At 36.1% G+C, this 25,353-nt stretch overlaps 1 protein-coding gene and 1 long non-coding RNA gene across 6 annotated transcripts in view; one reads left to right on the top strand and one right to left on the bottom strand.

The window, feature by feature from the left end:
• Positions 1–22,438, bottom strand: part of MUC19 (mucin 19, oligomeric (gene/pseudogene)) — a gene marked incomplete in the record, with an annotated part of 177,364 nt that extends 154,926 nt beyond the window's left edge. The window contains 9 exon segments of the mRNA NM_173600.2: positions 604–786; positions 873–1,037; positions 1,179–1,364; positions 3,650–3,799; positions 7,457–7,606; positions 9,659–9,808; positions 15,765–15,791; positions 17,921–17,953; positions 22,333–22,438. Coding sequence (NP_775871.2) covers positions 604–786; positions 873–1,037; positions 1,179–1,364; positions 3,650–3,799; positions 7,457–7,606; positions 9,659–9,808; positions 15,765–15,791; positions 17,921–17,953; positions 22,333–22,384 — 1,096 coding nt within the window.
• The window catches only part of LOC105369736 (uncharacterized), an 89,145-nt gene that overhangs the window by 28,065 nt on the left and 35,727 nt on the right, over positions 1–25,353 (top strand). For 3 of the 5 annotated variants that reach the window (XR_944868.3, XR_944869.3, XR_944867.1), the window contains exons 4-5: positions 17,168–17,272; positions 19,846–19,920. This is a non-coding gene — a long non-coding RNA (uncharacterized LOC105369736). Of the gene's footprint in view, positions 1–17,167; positions 17,273–19,845; positions 19,978–25,353 lie in introns of those variants that run through there. The other 2 variants (XR_944866.1, XR_007063562.1) reach the window with 2 other exon arrangements.

The raw sequence follows: 25,353 nt of genomic DNA, 5'->3' as shown, positions 1-25,353 counted from the left end.
CCAAGTCCAAATTCAAACAACCAGGACTTTTCCACTGGTGAAGAAATAAAATGTTAATAAAATAATGGGTGAAAGGTTGAAATCAATTTAAATTTCACCAGAGCAGAGTCCAGGACTAAACCACCTGCGCCACTGACATCAGATTTACTGCTGCTCTGCTCATTCCAACCAGATCCACTTGTTCCAAATCCCTTTTGACCAAATTTCTCCAAACCGAAGCCCAAATTTTCTGCTATGTCACACACACAAAAAATCCCTTTTTTATTGCACTGGTACCAATTACATGATATAAAATGGTTATCATCAGAATGCATTTCAATAAGTTTATGATTCAAACTTTAATGCAAAGAAATTAAATATCGATACCTAAATCACTAGAACTAGATTCTCTAGTAACTTTTATTCCATTTTCACTAAGCTCATTACCACCAAATTTCCTTGAACCAGAATACTTAAAATCAAATCCAGCTCCAACTTTTTTTCCTCCAAGTCCAAATTCAAGAGACTCAAGCATTCCCACTAACAGAAAAATCAAAATATTTTTAAATAAATGAATATTTGGAATTCAGGTGGATATCTCGGGAACAAAACTGGCTAGAATACCTGAGCTACTTGAATCAGATCCAAAACCTTTGAATCCAGCCTCAGCAGATACACTGCCACTCATTCCATTCCCTCCAATTTCATTGATTCCAAATCCCTCTTGACCAGAATCCCATAAATTGGATATCGAATTTAGAGAGCCACCACCAACAAATTGATTCTCACTTCTGAAACTGGTATCACCTGCAGAATATAAAATAATTGTCACTGTGCATTGAAAATATTTTATGACTCAGACGTTTTTATGCACAAAAGTCAGATATTAATACCTAGATCAATGGAAACAGATCCTCCAGAACTACTCGTTTGATTTCCTTCAACTGTTTTGCTACTAATGCCAGTGTCACCAAATGAATTCGAATCAGAAACTTCAAAACCAAATGCAGCATCACCTTTCCCTGCTCCAAGTTTCAAACCAGAAGAACCAGTTCCAACTAATGGAAAATCAAAATGTGATTAAAGTTAACATTAATTAATTAATCTTGTTGTTAAGTGACATTAAAATAAAAGCATCTTAACCAATTAATTAACTGAATCAATCTAAAATTTTGAGGATTGAGTCTTAGTTGGAATACCTGAGCTACCTGCATCAGGTCCAAAGACTATGGTTTCACCCCCAGCAGATCCACTGCCTCTAGTTTCTCTCCCATCAGCTTTACTGACTTCCAATCCCTTTTCATCAGATATCCCCCAACCAAATCCCACATCCAGAGAGGCACCACTGCTACTAAAGCCAGCACCATATCTTGTGTTGGTGCTATCTGTTGAAAACAAAAGAAAGAAAGAAAGAAAGAAAAAAATCATTGTCACCAAGGGAGTATTTTAACACATCTTATGATTCTTTATTTTGATGCAAAAACCTGAATAGTAATATCCAGATCACTGGAACTTGATTTCCAGTGCTCTGTATTTCATTTTCACCAAAGCCTTTTGTTGAAGACCACTGACACCAACTGAGCCAGAATTACCAAAACCAAATACTAATTCACTCTTCTTTTCACCACCAACTCCAAAATCAAAAGGCAAAATGTTTCTGCTTAATGAAAAATTAAAGTGTTATTGGGAGTAATATAGAAAGAATAAGAATTATTTGTATTTTACATTAATAGTCTCTGGATCAGAATTCCTGAGTCACTGACATGAGCACCAAGGTCAATGGATTCACAACTAGTGAACTCCTTGTTCTTGTTTCTACCAGTGTTCACATCTTTTCAGGTAAATTGCTCTAAATCAAAAATACCTAGAGCTACTATGCATTCTTGTCATTCACTTCCTTCATTGGCTCTAGTTTCTGAATATGAAAGGCTATTCACCCATACTTTTGTAAATTTATTTTCTCCAGCCTTCTTTTTCAAGAAAACTAGTTCAAATATGGGTAATGGGATTTTAAAAGTTGACATGGTAGATGTCATTCAAACATAAGAGCCCAAGATTTATCTGTTCCAGATGACAAAATTTGGGAACAAGAGAGGTTAAATGGTTTTCCCAAAGGTTAGTGTGAAAGACTGGGGATAGAAACTCTTCTTCCCAGGTCTAAGCTCCTGGGAAGTCTCAATCCTACTTGCCTCTTCACTAAATTGTTTAAATTACTGATTTCTGTTGAAGTTAATATAGATTTTTTATGAACCAGACAAAGAGTTTACAAATTTTTCTCATTAATTCCTCTAACAGTAAATCTGTATTTGTCAAAAACACCACCAATTCCTGCTTTGCTAATTAAATCAATTAATTAATTGATTATTCTGACAAAAGCATAAACTAAGAAACAACACAGAGTACCTGGTTTCCCTGGCAGCAGAGTCAGAGTCAGCTAATGCATTTACTGAACCTACATCTAATCCATTTTGATCGGGGACCCCTACCAATTTAATTTTGATTTGAAGCAGTACCACCAAACAGTACCACCTGCTGAACTGGTTTTATCTGCCATACAGAAATACAATCATTACCACAGAAAAGTTGTATTCATTCATACAATACAAGAAATTAATCCCTGCACACTGCTTGAAGCAGAGCTACATTTTAGTTTCTGATATATTCCTTGATCTCCCTTATTCCATATCTTTCCATATATAATTCTACGTAGTAGAATCAGGAGTAAGAATGGCAACCAATTTACTATGAGATTTGAAATAATTCCATAAGAAAGGTGAAACTTTGGGGCCATCAACGATAAACTTATTGTGCTCTACAGAACATGAGAAAATGACTAACACCTAATGTAAACAAGTGTAAATGGATCTGTCTTGTCTCCTTAGTCCTACTGAGTTTGTCAGTCCCAAAACAGGTGAGCGGAAAATAGAAAATTTTGTGTCCTTCATAAAGATATTACATCCAAAGCTGTTTCTGCCTTTTCACCTCAGAGACAAAACTATTAATGTTTAATGTAAAATATAGAACTTATTTTCCTCACTGGGACTGCTTCCTTCCCATTTTATAGAGGTACAAACTATAGAGATTTCAGGGACCAGGCAAGTACAGCAAAAATTTGAGTAGAACAGTAGGAAAAATTGTATTGAACCAGCAGGACCCCACCTCACCTAAACAAATTTAAATTTTTTCCTCTGAAAAACAAAATTGCAGGCCACAAACTGTTTAGGAACTGTTCCTTATCATATCACTCAACAAACTGGATATGTTAGTTTAATAGAGAATCATGATATAGAAAATCAATTGTGGTTAGATACAGAGAGAAACATGAGTGGACAGAATCTATACTACATTTGGGCCCAGGAAGCATTTTTGATTATTAACTTATACAGTAAAAATGTCAGAAAAATAATTCATCATTAGAATAATAGTACCAAGTATGAAGAGCACATATGAAAATAATTATCAGGAGAACAATTAATTTAATGTATACATCTTTGCCAACATTCTCTAAAGACAGAATTTATCACTCTCATTGGCCTTGAAATCAGTGCCTTTAGAGTATCTATGACTATTAAAGCCATGTGCTGCAAACAAAAGAAAGATTATCAGATGATCCAAAATGAAAACAAAAAGCACTTGTTTGCTAGGTAAGTATTTTTTTCTGGAACAGTACCTGCTGGGCTGTCTTCTGACCTTGAATTCCCAGCATCCCAGCGTTCTCTGGACTTGTCTTCATCCTCTCCTGTAGCACCAAATTCAAAGCTAAAGAGTGGCTTTTTTTTGTCTGAGTCACCAGAGGATGAACTACCATAAAAAAAGCCACCTACAGTGAAGAAAAAAACACTTACATTGCCAGCACAGACTAAAAAGGTAGTCTAATTATGACACCATGAAGAGCCACATTTTATTTTGAGTAGGTCTCATTATCCTGACAACACTTGGAACAATATACACCACTGGTTGACTTAATCACCTTATCTGCATCTTTTGGTCATGGTTCTAAAACTTCAAGAAAGAGAGGAGAATCAAGCTACGAAGATTCAATAATTGATGTGTACTAGATACTCTTCTCCTGGACAGAGCAGAAACTCCCCAGTCTGCTTCCTTCCCCATTCCTAAGCCCCAAGTTCTAGCATCCCACTTCCCCCAATCAAAATATTCTGCCATGTTGAATCCACATGGTCCTTGGCTACTGTTCTTTATAGCTGATAAAATGAAGATAACATGCCTGATTCTCTTTTCTGTATTTCTGCAAGGAAGAAAGCATGTAAACATTTAGTCATGAATTAATTGTAGCATCCACCTCCTTAAGTTTCATCTCAATGAGGCACACTCTGACAACTTAAAATTGCAACCCCACTCCACTATTACATTCCCAATAACCATTATATTACTCTATTTTATCCCATAGATTTTATCACCTTGTAATACACAAGGTAAAATATATCCCCTTGGGATGCACCTTTTATCACTGTCTATAATGCTTATTGAGTATTAACTGTACCCTTCTTCTACATTTTAAGCTCCATAAACTCAAGTTTTCTTTGCCTGTTCTATGGAGAGAGGGATTTCAGGTGCCCAGACCAGTGCCTCAACAATAGAGAGCACTCAGTATTTATTTAATAAGTGTAGTCACCAAAAAAGACCACTTCTTAAGGTAATAAACACCTTGTTACATGAAGTGTATATGCTTTCTATCATGCCATTTGTATATTTTTTGAAATCTCTATATAAAATTTAAACACTTCAGAATTAATAACATCTTAATAACTGTGATATTCCTGTAGAGTTGTGGAAGACATAAATTTTGGTCACCAAATAGACCAAAAAATGAAGTGAATGATTTGTAAATAGCACTTGAAGACTGTGTAATCACAAATACAGTAAAATAAGTGGCTTAATTCTGCCTATTAAAATAAGGAAAGAGATTTCTCCCTCCACAAACACCTTTTATTTGATCATTTCCTGCAGAAAACTTGTGTGTACTTTCTCTAGCTCTCTGAAATGTATATAGACATTTTTAAAGACTAAATAAACACCCAAGAATGTTTCTTCAAGGGGCTGGGGGCCAACACTTTGAAATGTAGTCATAAGGAAGATGCTTCCCTATCTCCTAAATTCCTCGGAGGTAGGATGCTAACTTCAGCTGGTGTTTGGCTACAAATCACAAACCTACCTCCAGTCATAATATACAAGAAATTAGTTCTTATTTTAAAGCAATCAGTAAACACAGATGGCTACCCCAACTACCATGTAAATGTAGGATGAACCTTGTAGCTAATGATGCTGTCAAGTCTGCTCAAAAACTAGTTATTTCTTATCTTCACAACTTACATGTAATTGTTTTATCTGCTTGTTTTATAAAAAAGAAATATTTCTGTGTGTCTGCAATCTTTATAGCGAGATGCCTGTCAGAACAGGTTTTCAGAGGTGGCAGGAGACTGTTTTTAAAGACATTTCCCCAACAACCTCTCTTGGAATTCTTAGCCATTTTCCATGTTTCTAGCAAGTATATCTCTACTTTTCTAAAACTAATAGGAAAAATAAAATATGTCTGTGATTATAAGAATAGTCAAAATAATAATCTATTATGTAGTGTTAGGGAAAGGCATTCAACATTCAAGAGATTTTGAAATTATAAAATTTGCATGTAGGTGTTTGTTTTAGGACTAAAGCAATGTTTAAATTATGAACAGCCAATATATACTATTGTTTTATTACCTAACCCTTCAACCACTATTACCTGTACTACTCTTCCTATATACAGTATTTCCCTTCTTTCTCTCCTCTTTCCCTCTATCTACCATTCTTCACTACACACTCTTCTTTTTCTCTTTTACCATCTTTCTTATTGTCTTTTTCAATGTGATGTAGTTTCAGAGCTGCATCTTAATATATAAATATTTTAGTTTGGTGGCAAAGCAGAAGGAAGCAAAGCAGTATTCAGTCAGAGCAAAAGTATAAACTCTGCATCTGGGTTCCTCCATTTGCAATTGGTAGCCTTGGATAGTAGCTCTCTTCCACTCAGGCAACAGGGATTCTTGTTCTGGTCTACCCACATCTTCCTCTGGCCTTCCTGGGGTCATGCCACTCCTCAGAGAGCACAGAATACAGGCCAAGAGTGAAGGGATTATGTCTACCCAGAGCCTGCGCTATCCCAGTCTCCCTTTCTGGATCACATTCTAGGGCCCCAGGGCTGCAGTCCCTAGTCTGCTACATGGGCATGCACGGGCATGTTTCCTAAGACCTTCTTTTCCAAGGTGAGACCACATTGCAAATACCATCCCCTAGGTCTGAGGGATGGAGAAGGGGTGGTCAGTGTGCAGAAGGAGATGGACTGAGATAGAAAACCTGGGATGTCCCTCCCAGTACGGGAATAAGCCAGAGACAGAAGGAGCATGACTGTGGAGACTTTAGCCAGGACACAGTCCTCACGGATCTTGCATTGAATTCCAATAAACCTAAAAATTCTGCATTGGATCCTGCCTTCCAGGTTGTCACAAGTGTACTTTTGTCAAGGTAGAAAAAGCAACACATTTTATGTCCTATTATGTTCCTTTATTGGTAACTTTTAATTATGTATATACCTGCATTTATACTCTTGACCATGACTGGGCCCTTGGCCTGTCCTCAGCTAACCAAATTAACATTTTTAAAACAAAGTTTCCTTAAACAAAGTTTATTTCACTATTAAATGGGCACTACGTAATGTATGAGGATAAAATATTACCAAACTCATGAAAAGAGATAAAATTTTATGTTCTGCCTAAAGATATTACAACCACATCTCTATACCCAAAGCTATTTCTGCCTTTTTATTACATGGACTCAGATATTAAATTTTCATATAAAATATTGGAGTTATTTATTTCACTGAACCTCTTTCTTTCCCATGTAGAGGTATAAACTCTAAAGATTTCAGAGACTAGGCAAGTACATTGAAAGTTTAAATAGGCCAGCAGGGAAAGATATGTCAAACGAGATTAAATGTCTCACCTAAAGACATTTAAAATTTTTCCTAAAAAAAAAAAAATGGAGTCTACACACTGTTTAGAAACTCAGCTTTATGCTACTATTTAGTAAACTGAGTGTGTAAGAGAGAATCCTAGTGTAGAAAATGAATGGTGGTTAGATTATAAAAATGTGAATGGAGAGATTCTGTAGTACATTTGGGTCCAGGAAGCATTTTAAATTATTAATTTACACACTGAAATATGTCATAACAATAAAGATACTAAATATAAAGATAACATTAAAAATAAATATTATCAGGACAATAATTAATTTAATGTAAACTTTTTTGCCACAATTCTCTAAAGACAGAATTTATCACTCTCACTGGCCCTGGAAATAGCATCTTTAGGGTTTCCACTATTTCTATGCAGGCTTTGTCTTCAATAAAACGTAGGTTATCAGATTATCCAAAATGAAAACAAAAAGCACTTGCTTGCTAGGTACATATGTTTTTCTGGAACGGTACCTGGTGGGGTGTCTTCTGACTTTGAACCTCCAGCATCCTGACTGTCTCCGGACTTGTCTTCAGCCTTTCCTGGAGCACCAAGTCCTAAGCTAAAGAATGGCTTTGTCCTGTCTGAGTCACCGGAGGATGAACTACTGTTAAAAAAGCCACCTACAGCAAATGACAGAAGATGTTATTTGAAAACAGCATTATTAGCACAGAATATAAATGTCATCTGATTATGACATTATGAAAAGCCACATTTTATTTTGTATAAATCCCATTATCCTAGCAGCACTTGAAACAACATATACCACTGGGACTTAATCATCTAATCCATACATTTTGGAAGTTCCTAATCTGATCTACGCAAGTCTCACTCTGGCCTTCCTTGGGTCATGATGCTCTCCAGAGAGCAGAGGCTGCAGGCTGAGGGTGAAGAAGGCATGCCTACCTAGAGCCTGTGTGATCCCCTACCCCATTTCTGGACCATGTTCTAAGTCCCCAGGGCTATAGCCAAACCCGGGATCTGGGCCTGCATGGGCATCTTTCCCAAGACTTTCTCCTCCAGGTGAGACCACATTACACTGATTGAAACCCTAGATCTGAAGGATGGACAGGGGATGGTGAGTGTGTGGAAGAAGATGGACTAAGATAGCAAAGCTGGGGCATCCCTCCCAGTATGGGACTAAGCAGAAAATAGAAAGAGCGAGGCTATAGAGAACTTGCCTAGGGCACAGCCAACCTTATTCTCACATTGAATTCCAGTAAACATGAAAATTCTACATTGGAACCTGCCTTCCGGATTGTCACAAATATATTGTTGTCAAGGAAGGAAAAAAAAAACATATTTTATGTACCATTTTGTTATTTTATTTGTAACCTTTAATTGTCTATATATCTGCATTTATACTCTTGACCCTGACTGTGCTCTTGGCCTGTCCTTGGTTAAACAAATTAACACTTCTAAAACAAAGTTCCCTTAAACAAAATTTATTTTACTATTAAATGAAGACTACATAATGAATGTGGATAAAATAATATCAACCTCATGGAAAGATATAAAATTTTATGTCCTGCCTAAAGATATTATAACCACACCTCCTACACCCAAAACGGTTACTGCCTTTTCATTACATGAACTCCAATATTAAATTTTCATATGAGATATTGAAATTATTGATTTCACTGGACTTCCTTCTTTCTCTTTTTTGTAGAGGTGCAAACCATACAGATTTCAGAGACCAGGAAAATACAGAAAAAATTTGAATTGGCAGGGGGAAGAAATGTGTTAAACAAGTGATATGGTTTGGCTCTGTGGCCACCCAAACCTTATCTAGAATTGTAGTTCCCATAATCCCCACATGTGGTGGGAGGGACCTAGTGGGAGGTAATTGAATCATGGGTGCAGTTTCCCCCATGCTATTCTTGTGATAATAAGTAAGTTCTCAAGATCTGATGGTTTTATAAGAGGCTTCTCCCTTCACTCATTCTTCTCTCATTCTTCTCTCTCCTGCTACCATTTGAAGAAGCATGTGTTTATTTCCCCTTCTGCCATGCTTGTAAATTTTCTGAGGCCTCCTCAGCCATGTGGAACTGTGAGTCAATTAAACCTCTTTTCTTTATAAATTACCCAGTCTCAGGTATCTCTTCATAGCAGCATGAGAATAAAACTAATACAAAAAGAGATGAAACACCTCACCTAAAGATATTTAAAATTTTATACAGCAAAAGATGAAATACCTCACCTAAAGACATTTAAAATTTTTCCTCCCCAAAAAATTGCAGGCCATAAACTTTTTAGAAACTCTGCTTTATAATATTGTTTAGCAAATTAAGGGTGTAATTTAAAGAGAGAATCCTAATGTAGGAAATGAATGGTGGTTAGATTACAGAAATGTGAATAGAGAGATCTTACACTATATTTGGGTCCAGGAAGAACTTTAAATTATTAATTTATACAATGAAATATATTATAATAACAATAAAGATACTACATATAAAGATAGCATACAAAATAAATATTACCAGGGCAATAATTATTGTAAACCTCTTTGCCAGAATTCTCTAAAGACAGAATTTAGCATTCTCTTTGGAACTAGCATTAGTGCCTATAGGGTCTTCACATTTCTATTAAGGCCACATCTTCAATAAAACAAAGGTTATCATATTATCCAAAAAAAAACCATGCTTGCTATGTAAGTGTATTTTCTGTAACAGTACCTGCTGGGGTGTCTTCTGACTTTGGACTCCCAGCATCCTGACGTTGTCTGGACTTGTCTTCAGTCTCTCCTGGAGAACCAAATTCCAAGCTAAAGAGTGGCTTTTTTCTGTCCAAGTCACCAGAGGATGAACTACCATAAGAGAAGCCACCTACAGCAAATAACAGAAGATTTTATTTGAAAACAGCATTGTTAGCATAGACTATAAAAGTGGTCTGATTATGACACTATCAAAAGCCACTTTTTTATTTTATACAAGTCTTATTATTCTGGCAGCACTTGAACAGCATATACCACCTATCCATGTCTTTTTGTCATGGTTCTAAGACCTTAAGAAAGAGAGGAGAATCAAGCTGTGGAAATTCAATCATCGATGTGTGCTAGAGAGACTCTTCTCCTGGACAGAGCAGAAACTCCCCAATCTGCTTTCTTCCCCATTCATAAGTCCCAAGTTCCAGCATCCCACCTCTTCCCACTGCTATTGTTTAGGAGTTTGTCTCCCCACAACCCATGTTGAAATTTGATCCCTGTGATGGAGGTAGGGCCTGTTGGGAATTCTTTGGGTCATGTGGGCAAACCCCTCAGGAATAGCTTGGGTTGTCCTCCTGGTAATGAGTGAGCTATCGCTCTGTTACTTCCCACAGAGCTGTCATTCCTCCTCGTCCCTCTCTTTTTTTTCCTCTCTCACGGTGTGATCTCGGCAAAGGCTAGCTGCCCTTGGCCGTTGCCGTGAGCGGAAGCACCCAGAGACCCTCACCAGAAGTAAAGGCTGGTGCCATGCTTCTTATACAGCCTTCAAATACAGGAGGTGAATAACCCCCTTTCTTCATAAATTACCCAGCCTCAGATATTTCCTTATGGATAGCAAGGCAAATGAACGTAGACACCCAGCAAAATATTCTGCTATGTTGAATCCACACTGTCCTTGGCTACTGTTCCTTATAACTGACAAAATTAAGATAACATATCTGACTCTCTTTTCTGTATTCCTGCAAAGATGTAACCATTTACTCATAAATTAATTGTAGAGTTAGCCTCCTTCAAGTCTCAGTTTAAATTTCATCTCAGTGAGGCACACTCTGACAAGTTAAAACTGCAACTTCATCCCCACCTTTATACTCCCAAATACCATTATATTTAATATTACTCTATTTTATCCCACAGATTTTATCACCTTGTAATATAACATGTTTACTGCTTATAATGTTTTTTGTTTATTGACTGTATCCTTCTAGGTTTTAAGCTGCATAAACCCAATGTTTCTTTGCCTGTTTAATTCACTGAAGTATCCCAGGTGACAAGAGGAGTGCCTGAACTATACAGGATACTCAATTCATATTTATTTAGTAAATACATTCACCAACAAGATCACTTTTAAGAGAAGAAATACTGTCTTACATGATGCATATGTGCTTTCCATCAAGGCATTTTTTTAAATCTTTACGATAAAATTGAAATACTTTAGAATTAATAATGTCATAATAATGATGACATTCCTGTAAAGTTGTGGAAGACATACATTTTGAACAGTGAATAGACAAGAGAATGAAGCACATTATTTGTGAGTAAAACTTGAAGAATACGTAAGAGCAAATGCAAGTAAAAATAAGTAGTTTAATTCTCCATACTCAAAATAGGAGAAGAGACTTCTCTCCCTACACACTTTTGCTTAGATTATTTACTTTAGAAAACTTGCGATTTCACCCGGGCATGGTGGCTCATGCCTGTAATCCCAGCACTTTGGGATGCTGAGGGGGGCAGATCACGAGGTCAGGAGTTCATGACCAGCCTGGCCAACATGGTGAAACCCTGTCTCTACTAAAAATACAAAAATTAGCTGGGTGTGGTGGCACATGCCTGTAATCCCAGCTACTCGGGAGGCTGAGGCAAGAGAATCATTTGAACCCAGGAGACGGAGGTTGCAGTGAGCCAAGATTGCACCACTGCACTCCAACCTGGTGACAGAACAAGACTCCATCTCAAAAAAAAGAAAAATAAAAAGAAAAGAAAAGAAAAAGAAAACTTGTGATTTATTTCTCTACCTCTCTGAAATGCAATAAAAATATTTTTAAAGACTAGACAAGCACCCCAAGAATGTTTCCCCAAGGGCCTGGCACCATCACTTTGACATGTCATCACAGAGGAAGATAACTTCCCCATCTCCTAGGTTCCTGGGAGGTAGGAGCCTAACTTCAGCTGGTGCCTGGTTACAAATTGCAAACCTACCTCCAGTCATAATATACAAGAAATTTATTTTTTTTCTTTTAAAGACAATCAGCAGACACAGGTGGCCACCCCAACTACCCTGTAAATTTAGATTGAACTATATGGCTAATGGTGCTATGAAGTTCACTTGAGAACTAGTTGTTAATCTTGAGAACATGTATGTGATAGATTACATCTGCTTGGCTATGTCTTTCTGTTTTGGCAATCTTAACCTGTATGTGCATCACATTCTGCTTTAAAGTCTATTCTATAATAAAACTTTTTATTGTAGGAATACAAGTGCTTAAATCATGTATAGTCGATTTATATTATTACCTATATTAGGTAACCTTCCAATGACTATACTACCTTTCTCCACATGCAGTGTTTCCTCTCGTTGTCTCCTCTTTCCCTCTATCCACCCGTGTTTTCCACATACTGTTCTTCCTTTCCTCTTTTACCCTCTCTCTCATTGTCTTTCTTCGATGCCATGTAGTTTCAGAACTGCACTTTAATATATAAATATCTTAGTTTGATGACAAAGCAGAAGGAAGAAAAGAAGTATTTAGCTGTGTGAAAAGTATGCACTTTTCAGCAAACCCATCTGGGCTCCCCTTCTTGCAATCAGTGTGGTCTTGGCCACTACCTCTCTTAGACCTAGGCAAGAGAGGTTACTGCTCTGATCTATGTTGGTTTCATGCTGGCCTTCCTGGGTCATGGCCTTCCTCAGAGAACACAGAATACAGGGTGAGGGTGAAGAGCTTTTGTCTACTCAGAGCCTGTGCATGCCCTTCCCCATTTCTGGACAATATTCTAAGTCCCCCAGGCTGCAGCTCCAAGCCTGCTACTTGGACGTGCACGGGCATCTTTCCTGAGATCTTCTGCCCCAGGTGAGACCACATTGCAAAGACTGAAGCCCTAGGTGTGAGGAATGAACAGAGGGTGGTCAGTTTGCAGAAAGGGGTGGACTGAGATAGGAAAGCTGGGCTGTCCCTCCCGGTGTGACTAAGCCAGAGATAGATGGAGCAGGGCTACTTCTTGGATAGGGCACAGGCAACACTGTTCTTGCATTGATTTCCAATGAATCTAAAAATTCTGCATAGGAAATGTCATTCCAGCTTGCCATGAATGTATTTTTGTCAAAGTAGGAGAAAGAAACCATTTTATTTGCTACTTTGTTCCTTTTATTTGTAACTTTTTTATTATTTACACACTTGCATTTGTACTTTTGCCCCTGGCTGTGTTCTGTGTTCTTGGCCTGTCCTTGGATAAACAATTTAACATTTCTAAAACAAAGTTTTCTTATCTATTAAATGGGGAGTACATCATAAAAAAGGATAAGATCATGTCTGCTTCATAATAGAAGTATTAATTAAATGACTGTATTAAGTGAGATGAGTGCACCTAGTCCAGTGTCTTAAACACAGCATTCAACTGAGATAAACCCTGCCCTTTAATACATATGACTTGTCTCAGCAAACTTACTGCGTCAAACTCATTTAGATGCATTTTATATCACTTATTTAATTCATGATGTGTTTGTTCACCATACTCATCATACCTCTCCCAAGTTCAACCCCAGAGATATATTAGAGTCTTCATTTTATTAGAGCAGTATTTCTTCATTTTAATGTTGACATGAGTAGACCTGGCATCCTAGATATTCAGTGTGTCACATTCGTCTTCACTAACTTTATTAACTTTACTTTATCCCTTTTGTTTTTATTATATAAAACTTGCTCAGAAATATTTGCTGCTGAAGTTATTAGGAGTAATGGTCAGTATGTTTTTCAAATGTACAACATCTGTATGACAGTACTTTGTATGCCTTACTGCTTTAATAGCCTCAATTCTATGGGATAGGTGCCATTAAACTACTTCATTTGTAGATGAGAAAATAGATATTGAGAAGAGACTGACTAATTTGTCTAAGATCACACGGTTAGAAAAATCTGCCAAGAAATCCTTTGCTCTTAAGTGCGATGTACACTGCCTTCATCTTGCTTAAAGACAGGTTGCTTATACAATGCACAAAGATAAATAAAATGTTTATCTACTTTATAGCTTAAGGATAAATAGAATGTTTATATTTTTCATAATAAAGTCATACTAGATTTTGCATACATTTTGCACAAAATTTCGGAAGGTTTAGCTTACACTTTAATTTTAAACCACAGAATGGAGTAGAAAAGAAAAATAGACATAATTCTGCTTCTTCATCCCTACCTCATGGAGAGAAATGGCTGGATAAGAGAGGTGAACATGATTCAACTGTGCGGGTGGGAAGATTTTTAAAGTAACGGGAACAAATGAATTATGTTTCTGACATCAGTAAAAATCAGTGGATATCAAAAAACACGAAGTCCTGTATTGGCCTACAATCCTTATCTCAAATGTAGGAATCTTGATCTCATTGAAGAATGAAGAGTTTGAGGGATAACAATGCCCTGAAGTTTGTCCAGTTTTGTTTGTTTGTTTGTTTGTTTGTTTTTTGAGATGGAGTCTTGCTCTGTTGCCAGGCTGGAGTGTAGTGGCGCAATCTCGGCTCACTGCAACCTCTGCCTCCCGGGTTCAAGCGATTCTCCTGCCTCACCCTCCCAAGTAACTGAGACTACAGGCCCCCGCCACCACTCCCGGCTAATTTTTCTCTTCTTTGGAAGAGATGGGCTTTCACCATGTTGGCCAGGATGGTCTTGATCTCTTGACCTCGTGATCTGCCTGCCTCAGCCTCCCAAAGTGCTGGGATTACAAGCATGAGCCACCATGCCTGGCCAGTTTGTCCAGTTTTATGTTGACTGGTTGAGTGGTTGATGGGGGCTTTCTTGCTTGCCATTTTTATTCACTTAAGGCAGCTCTAGCTTTGGAGAACCTCATGTCCCTCCTAAATAATACCCAGACCTGGAAGGTTCCCTGAGACACATAGGAACAAATTCAATTCCTCAGAATTTTAAAGAACTTTCAGAGAACTATAGAACCCCAAGCGTACCCTTACTTCCTTCTCATTTGTGAATGGGGGCTTCTAAAGGAATGCTGAAAACTCGTATGCCCCCATTTACAAAAGTAACAACCAGATTTTGTAGAGAAACTCTTACTATATCACTGTGATGGAACTTAATGAGTCCTGTCCATGGCTGTGAAAAATAATCTTGCTGTCTTCCTGACACAACTGAGCTGCTGCCTAATCTCAGTTTATGTTTTCCCTCAAAGAAGGCTGTTTAAAATTACATTTTATTTATGTTGTAGAATGAGGTAGGGATGTAAAATGCCCTATAAGAAAAGCACAGGAACGTATATTGGGCTATTTTGATTGCTGTGTACAATAGACCAGAATAAAATTGAGTCTAAGTTGATATTAGCAATAATATTAACGTTGGATTTCAGAAAAACTTCATAAAAGCAGTCTTGTTGATTTGCTATGGTTCATTTTTTCATTTCAGTGGGTAGAGAAACAAACAGTAAAGGATAATGGTGATATTCAGTCACCTGATGGGATCTAGTAAGACTGTTGAAACTAGATTGATTTTGAAGCAGATCACTAAGGAATTAATCTTGGAAGAGAAAAACAACAGCATGTCCTGCCAATGAAAATATAGGAAAGTAAAGCCTTAAATTTACATACACATTTCTATCACAGGTTTAAGATATTTTAGGTTAAACAAATAACCAGAATAATTTTCCATTTTAAATTTCACCACCTGTGTAAGTATTGATCAAAGATTAAAATGTCTGGCCCAGATTATACAAAAACACATTAAAGCATGTCTGTAATAATAAGAGAGATTATATTTTAAGCATTTGAAGGATTTTTCCAGGGGAGATATGCCCTATGTCCAAAGCAAAGCACTACCACCCTATTGCTTTTGAGTATAAACAGTATAAGAAAAGAGAACAAAGTAATTTACCTGATCTGCTTGCTGCTATTTTACCATCTGAAGAAAGAAAGGGAGAATTGCTGTCATTAGTAGTGTCTCTAAATGACAGATTTGCCATTAGAAAGTGAATCTTGATTACAGCCATTTCTTGTCTTTGGGAGGTGCTCCCAAAGAGATATACTCATTGAATTTAATACTCAGGCATAAATATGGTAATTAGCCATTGCCCATGGTACACTTCTGCTTCTCCAGAAAGGGGAAAGTCTGGGCTAATTTTCCAGTCACTCTCACGCCCAGTCTAAATGCATAAATTAGAATGCAGCACTCAATAATATTTAGATGCCTGAAAAGGTGCTTCAAAAGACTATTATTCTTTTGGTAAAACGCAGAAGCTTTAGTTAAAAGATATTTTCACGTGACAAAGGTACTGAATAGAGTACAATTACTTAATCTGAGTCAAATATCTACAATTTCTAGTTTCCAGCTGAATACTAAAATGTATGTATACACAACTTACAAATTATTTAAATGTCATTATTGTAAATCAAGGTAAATTTTCTCCATACTTAAATAAATGGCATGTAAATGTGCAACCTTGTCAAGCTATTGTAAGTACAGCTGAGTCAAAAACTCACAATAAGAATGGGTACTTTACAACAAAAAGTATAATTTACATACACACACACTTATTGAGATTTACAAATACAAAAATATTTTTATTAAATACATCAAGTCATTGGTTTCCAAAAGAATTTTCTCAATAATTCTGTGAAATAAAGTACTTAACAATGGCAATAGAATTTTGCATAAAGTTGCATGTTGATTACATATTAAAGAAACCTCAAAGATGTTTTCAGTAACATTTTTATTTGGAGACTTACAGGATTGTGCTTTGTTTTTAATGCTTATCTATGCTCTGTAACCTTTAAATTTTCTAAACCCAAACTGAACGCATTATTCAAATAAATAGTCAAGGCACATGGTCTGATACTAAGATAAACTTTTAGAAATTTGAACTAAAACCCAATTCAGGAAAATCCAAGACTTACGGTCAGTAAACCTATCCCAGAGAGGAAGGAGTAAATTAAGACAAACAGTAAATAGCACATTTAAAAGATAAAGCATTTCCCATATGTTCTCATAAATTGTTGTCAAAACCAAATCTTACGTAGCTTCACAAACAAATGCACACACACGGATTTAGCCAAAGGCTAAGAAGAAATGGTTTACAGATGTGGATTGGAGACACTTAATATAAATGCTTCAAAAGAAAACTGCACAGTAATATTCTTTATGTAAGTTAAACACCTGGAAAATTCTGACTATCTGAAATGTAGATTGCAGTCAAGAAGTTGTCCCCAAATCCTCTTGCAGCAAATAGAGATATCACTGAGCCCATGTATGAATTCTTGCTTATTCACTGTACCCATCAGGAGAAATCTCTTGAGACCTCACTCAGAGTGCACATCCTTACCACAGTACAAGGCTAATGAGCTTGGATCGATGGTGTTCTCAGCCCAGTGGACTGAAAACAATAGGTAAGAATTGGAACTGACTGCTAAAAGTAGACATGATGATCCCATGAGAATATAGAGCTAGCTGTTGAATGGAAGACAGAGGACAGAAAGGCAAATCAAAAGCAGACAAAGAAACTCAGAAACAATCTCTGGAATAGGGACAAACTGTCTTACTCAAGTCAGTACATTCCAAGGGCATCATTGTATAGATATAATATGATAATGGACATGCATTTTCATGTCCTTAAAAAAAGATTAAGCTATTTTCAGAAGTCCCATGTCTTCTTTGGTAAGAAGTTAGGGTATCCTTGGTTTATTTCAGAAAGTTTACCTTGCAAAGCATTTGGTTACTTTCATGTAGAAAATTCTTGTAGGCAAAATAAATCTTATATTGATCATCCCAATTTATTTTATTCATTTAAAACAAAGATGTACTGAGGACCTACTCCATTGCAGCCACTGCTCTTGGCATTATGAATATAGGGTGAACAGCATAGACCAAAATCCTGTCATTAAGGAGTTCAGATCACATGGGGTAAATGAGGCATCATGGGAGCTCATTCACAAAACCAAGTGTGTAAGAAACACACTAATTTTATGATTCCAAAAGCAGCCTCACAATGCAGCATAATGTTTCAAAGTAAAGATTAATTCCTGAAAGATACTGACCTGATTTTTGTCGGTAAAGTAAGGCTTCCACATCTATTTTAAAAGTGAGAAAAAAAACAGGTTATTTTATAATTCTCTATAACATATTTTAAGACAATGAAAAAGATGTTCTTTTTGTTTTCGTTCTTCCCTAAAATTCAATATAAGCAATCCACTGTTTTTATCTGATAAGTGTAATACTTCAATAGTAATTTATTATTTCACAGCTTTTCTATTTAATAGGAAATGATCTATGTAACACATTTACCTACCAGCATACTTGATATCAAATTTTCAGTGCCAACTAAGACTTGAAAATATGTATGACGAAATAAATTAAGCTCACAAATTAATATTAGCCAATATTTTATATCTTCTTCACATGACTACAGCTGTTGATCTAAAGTATATTTTCTGATCTAAATTTTACATGCTTTTATTTCCCCTAAACATTTTCTGGGTAATGTGTTCATAAGCAGTGAATTAGACAAAAAAGAAACAAGAATAAAAGAACAGAATCAATAATATGGACTTTAATGGTAATATAGGATAGCCTGAGAAAAAAATAAAAGTAGATTATGCATATTTATGCCTGAACTATGTCTCTTATAACTGTTTTTTTCTACTTAACCAGAAAAATTGTTTTTCAATTTTTTTCTTTCTGTATAGTTATGCTTGATTAAACAATGCAAATGTTTCTTCCAATTGATTATATGGATACTGCCTAAATATTTGCTTTCAGCAACTTCCAGTCCCCAAGATTTATCATCCTATAACCTACTGAAAATGATGAGTGTCTGTATTTGAAACGTAAATCACACTGACTAATAGCAACAAAAATTTATTTCAAATAAGGCACCTAGGATTTCTGCAAAGAGCAGTTTTCCAAGTATGTTTCTTAGTTCCCACGATGACATCATGAATAAATACATAAAATCTGAATTTTGTTGATAAGTCGCCTATCCATGGAAAGCCTATTGAAATAGTCACAATCATTTTCCAGATCTACAATGGATGGATATATAGGAATTTACCTTAGAAACATGAGCCAATTCTTCAGTAAATTTAATATACTTTAACAAGTAATTTTAAAATTATTTTTATGGTGATATGACATTTAATAAATACTTTGAAAATAATGTACTCTTTGCTCCATTACTTAGGAAACAAGAAACACATTTATGCAACAGGAAAAAAGAATATAGCAAAGCACTATGTAAGATTATGAAAATCACTATTACACAAAGTAATCATTTTCTAATGGTTCATCAGACAATTTCCCAGATAGTTGGATTAAACAGAAATATTTTCTCTTAATTATAACAAATAATTGCAGTTCTCTATATTCTGACATCTCAGAGAAAAATAAGATATATGTTTTGTGTTCTACTTTCAAATTTAGAGAATAGACTTTTAAGTTTAGATATGGAAAAAACCTGCTTTTTGCAGACTTTTTCCCTTACATTTGGATAATGTTATCTTTTCTGCCATTTTCAGGAACAGAACAATGTTTGTTTCTAGACATTTTTTCATTTTGCTTAGTGTTTAATTTTCTCAAAATAAATGACATCTTACCTTTAAATTAATTTCTGAAATTAATTAATGAACTTTCTAAAATATCCAGGAAAGATGTTAAAGTGTTGTTTTTGATGATGACCCAGTTTTTTAACTGGTGATAATTTCTTGATTTGTGAAAAACATGATTACCTGTTTGCGTCTTTAGTCTTAATATGGATATGCATTCAAGATAGAACCATCAAAGCATAAACTGTGATGAAAATGAGTAACAAACAACACTGTATGTATCTTGTGTGACCTGCTTAGTAATAGTTCTAGGCAGTTGCTAAAAACAAATATATCTAAATGTGTATACATATATTTAAAAGCACTCTTCATTTTATTGTGCTTTACTTTACCGAGGTTTACATATATTGTGTGTTTTACAGATTGAAGATTTGTGGCAACCCTGTGACTACCAACTCTATTGAAACCATTTCTCCAATAGCATGAGCTCACTTCAGGTCTTTGTATCACATTTTCATAATTCTCACAATATTTCAAATTTATTATTATTATTATACCTGTTATGGTGATCTGTGATCAGTGATTTTTGATATCACTCTTGTAATTGTTTTGAGGCATCACCCACACTCAATAAGATGGCAAGCTTAATATATGCTTATGTTCTGACCTTTCTACCAACAGGTCATTGCCCCCATCTCTCTCCCTCTCTTTGGGCCTCCCTTTTCCCTGAGACACAATAATATTGAAATTAGGCTAATTAATAACCCTACAATGGCCTCTAAGTGTTCAAGTGAAGAGTGACAGATCTTGCATTTAATATCAAAAAGTTCGAAATGATTAAGCTTAGTGAGGAAGGCATGTGGAAAGCCAAGATAGGCTGAAAGCTCAGTCTTTTGTGCTGAACACATAGCCAATTTGTGAATGCAAAAGAAAAGTTCTTGAAGGAAATTAAAAGTGCTACTCCAGCGAACACATGAATGATAAGAAAGCCAAACAGCCTTATTTCTGATATGGAGAAAGTTTGAATGGCCTGGAAAGATCAAGCCAGCCACAATATTCCCTTAAGCCAAACTGTAATCCAGAAAAAGGCTTTAACTCTCTTCAGTTGTCTGAAGGCTGAGAGAGGTAAGGGAGCTACAGAAGAGAAGTTTTAAGTTGGCGGAGGTTAGCTCATTAAATTTAAGGAAACAAGTTGTCTCCATACTATGAAAGTGCAAAATGAAGTAGCAAGGGCTGATGGAGAAGCTGCAGCAAGTTCAGAACAGAAGATCTAGCTAAGATAATTCATGAAGATGGCTGCATTGAACAATAGATTTTCATTGTAAACAAAACAGCTTTTGATTGGAAGAAGATGACATCTAGGACTTTAATAGCTAGAGAGGAGAAGTCAATGCCTGGTTTCCAAGCTTCAAAGGACAGGCTGATTCTCTTTTTAGGGTCTAATGCAGCTTCTGACTTGAGGTTAAAACCACTGGTAATTGACCATTCTGAAAGTCCTAGGTCCCTTAAGAATTATGCTAAATCTACTCTGCCCATGCTCTAAATATTGAATAACTCAGCCTGCATGACAGCACATCTGTGTACAACAGGGCTTACTGAATATTTTAAGCCCGTTGCTGAGAGCTACTGCTCAGTATAAAAGACTCCTTTCAAAATATTACTGCTCATTGACAAGAGTTCAAGAGCTCTGATGGAGATGTACCTGGAGATTAATGTTGTTTTCAGGCAGCTAACACAACATCCATTCTGCAGCCAACAGGTAAAGGAGTAATTTTGACTTTCATGTCTTCTTATTGAAGAAATAAATACATTTCATAAGGTTATAGTTGCCGTAAATAATGATGCCCCTGATGAATATAGTCAAAGTAAACTGAAAATCCTCTGGAAAGGATTCACCTTTCTAGATGCACATTCATGATTCATGAGAGGAAGCCAAAATATCAACATTAAAATAATTTGGAAGAAGCTGACTTGTAGAAGTTCAAGACTTCAGTAGAAGAAGTAACTGTCGATGTGGTAGAGAGAGCAAGAGAACTAGAATTAGAAGTGGAGCCTGAAGATGTGACCGAATTGCTGCAATCTCATGAGAAAACTTGAACAGATGACGAGTTGCCCCTTATGAATGAGCAAAGAAAGTGATTTCTTCAATTGAAATCTACTTCTGGTGAAGATGCTGTGAACATTGTTGAAATGACAACAAAGGATTTAGAAGAGTAGACAAAGATAGATGCTAAAGCGGTAGCAGGATTTAAGAAAACTGACTCCAACTTTGAAAGAAGTTCTACTGTGGGTAAAATGCTATCAAGCAGCATTGCATGCTACAAAGAAATCGTTCATGAAATGAAGAGTCTATCAATGTGGCAAATGCCATAGCTTTCTTATTTTGAGAAATTGCCACAGCACCCCCACCACCTTCAGCAGCCACCACATTGGGTACTCAGCAGCAGTCAACATCAAACCAGCAAAAAGATTACAACTCACTGAAAACTCATATGATCATAGCATTTTTTAGCAATAAAGTATTTTTAATTCAGGTATATATATTGTTTTTATACATAATGCTATTGTATACTTAGTCTACAGTATAGGGTAAACATAACTTTTATAAGTGTTGGGAAGCAAAAAACTGTGTGTGCTTTATTGCAATATTCACTTTATTGTGGTAAGCTAGAAGCAAACCCGAGATATCTCCAAGGTATGCTTGTATCCACACTCTTAAGACACGATTGTTAAAGCTGAGGTAATACACAGTAAGATGAAAAATCCAGTTTTCTTATCCTACTTTAAAGTGTAGTGTAAGAAAGATTGCTAGGAAGAAAAATGTTGGATCTACAGAACACTAAACATTCAGACAAATATATACTTGGGGTCCATCACATTTGAAAGAATTCTTTAAATTAGTTTCTTACCTTTGAAGAAGCACCAAAGTGCCACAACCAAGTACCATAAGATCAACTTCATGGTTGTGATTTGGGACCTAGAAATGGAGGATAGTCATTCTGGAGAGACAAGTCTACAAGGGCCCTTGTAACTTTGGTTTTTATACCCACTCATCCCACTGTCTGCCATCATGGGCTAGGTGTGGTAAACTTGGTGACAAGAGAGCAAAGGTAAATGTCATAGGCTGCCAAAGATGAAATCCACTTTCAGTCTGTTTAGTGCCTTACTCCTATGACATCTTCTATCTTGGACCAAATCCAGCTCATACCAAACCCAGAACATGTCTTCTTGCCACCCTGTGCAAACAGCAAAACCAGGAACTAAAAGCCCCAGGATTAAAAACTAAATATGCTGAGGATACACACATTTATCTATCCCCTATTAATCACTGCAGAAGTCTTAATACCTCAAGAAACTCAAATATTGTGATTAAATATTGTAATTGTCTTTCCCTTAACAACAAAATATATTTTAAACATTAACCTACTTTGAAACAAAGAACTCTTTACTTATCAATACGTTATTAGGCATTTTCTTAAAGAAACACAGGTTATAAGTATAGGTATAGATGCACTAAGATGTATAACTGTACAGTAATAGCTTTATTATTCAAAAGGATATGTAAGACTCTAATGATATAGGTTTTTACTTTACAATAAGATATGTAAATAAGTAGAAAATATATTAAAATGAAAACAACATAAAAAGAATGTTTTAGGACAAAAACAAATTTAAATAGAAAATGTCATTCATCAATATATATATCTAGATATCCTGGGTAAAGAGAGAAGTTCAAGTTAGAATCTGGGAGGAGTTCTGGTCTGGTCTGTGATGAGCAGGGTAGAGAGGATTAACAAGGGAGGAATCTCTTGCGCCAGTCAGGTGGACCTGGAAAATGGAAAGGCCACCTCCACAGCTTCGTTGATGCCATTTGCTCCTCATCTGCTCCCAGTTGCTACCAAGAAAAGACTTTAGCAGCTAAAATGAAAGCAGTCCTTAGTTTATCTCCCCAGAAAAGCAGAAGAATCCAGGAAAGGGGGAAAAGGTATGGACCAACAGCCTTTTTCTTCCCCTTTATTTACTCATGACTCAACTCACTTAAAACAAATAAATAATTCCTACCTTTTCAGAGGGCCTCACCAATACATATTGAATGCTTTTACACATACTCCTTGGCTGGCCAAATCTGTTTAGTCTATTTGTTGAGTCTTAAATTATTTCAAAAGGGGACAGAATTTAACAGATTACAACATTTTAATTGCATTTGCCTGATTAAGGTGGCACATTTACTGAAGGCCATGCAATATTAAATCTGACACCAGTGTAAGTATCAGAGCTTTTTCTATGAGTCAGGTATTTGGAGATGGTAAACAATAGACATTTTAGAGCTGGAGAAGAGGACTCACTCCAAGAACAGAGAAAGAGGTAACAAATGGAGGTTAAAGAGACTAACAACTCATAGACTTTGTCATTTTTCCAAAACCCAGCCTTTTTTCTTTCAATGATTCACAAATTCATTAAGATGGTACATAAAGGACTTTTCTCCAACATAGAAAAAAATATAGTTCAGAGGGAACTATCTTATACATTGAGACATATGACTCACAATAACACTGCCATTGATGATGTTCTTTTCTTTATCATACACGACTTCATTGTGAAGAAGATTTGATCTCAGGAAACCCATTTTTTAGATTATCATTATGACATAATTATTCTGCTATATGCTTCACAGTAAGCTTAGACTTGTAGGAGCCAGAATGATACAAAGTTATCAGGGGCTGTTGAGCAACTAAGAATATATGCAAGATACAACATTTCAATAAGCAAGATTGAAAGGGAATGCTATGGAAGCTCCAAGGAAGGTGAGATTACTTTTAGCTTAGGAGAATCGGGGAACATTTCATTACATTTGCTTGGCACAACCCTAACCATGCTTAAATTAAACTCTTTCCTCTTTCCAACTACACAGTGCAGATGAACACAACTGGTTCATCTATGAACCATATGCTAACTTGTCTCTCTTAAATTCATTACCCTGAATGGACCCTTAAGACAGCTAGGCAATTATATTTTCTAGTCCATTTGCTGTCATATTCTTCTATTTCATATCTTCTCTCCTCTCCAACATCCAACACCTCTTTCCCATCATCCCTTTCTGTTAATAACATTATTTCCAGTTTTACTGAAAAAACAAAAGCTATCAAAAGAAACTCTACCAGATTTCTACTCAAACTTTACCTACGTTCTTATTTATCCAGATGAACTCTCTGTGCCATGATCAAAGGCCAACTCTTTCATTTGTATACTGGATTCCATCCAAGAATATTATGCCAGCAATTCATTCATCTCTAGGTTTCCCCCCTTTTGGATTATTCTCAACAGTATAAATGCATGAGCTTATTTCTCCTAACTCAAAATAAATAAATACATACATGAAACAACGCTATGAAATGAGAATTATATCTCAATAAAGCTGTTTAAAAAAAAACTGTGGAACTCACTTCCTTTCTGGCTCTCTTCTCATTTCTCTTTTCCCTTTAATGATTAAATATCACAAAAGAGGTATTTGTGCTCATGGACTCTACTTCCTGACTTGTTCACTCATAAACTTTGTTCCTTCAAGTTTTCACTCCATCACTGAACAAGATGTGTTCTTGGCAAGGACAGTGGTGATTGATCCCCTTTTGTGAATCTAATGGTCAATTTTCAGTCCTTATTTTATCAACCTCTCAACAACAGCATTGAACACAGTTGATCAATTCCTGCTTTTCAGTACACTTTATGTCACTTCTGCAAATTCCAAGCTTTTTTCTATTTCATTTGCTGCTCCTTTTTATCCTCTGTTGATTCCTTCTCATATCCCAAGGCCTGTTAACATGAGGACCCTGAGGCTCAAATTTGAATCTTTCTTTTTGTTATTCACTCCTTGGGGGATTCTATTCAAATTCTATGAATTTTAATACCATGTATATGCTCATTACTTTCAA

The sequence above is a fragment of the Homo sapiens genome, chromosome 12 (genome assembly GCF_000001405.40).
Source record: "Homo sapiens chromosome 12, GRCh38.p14 Primary Assembly".
NCBI classification, from domain to species: domain Eukaryota; kingdom Metazoa; phylum Chordata; class Mammalia; order Primates; family Hominidae; genus Homo; species Homo sapiens.
Note: the sequence above shows the minus strand (reverse complement) of the source record. Positions and strands in the feature narration are given on the sequence as shown.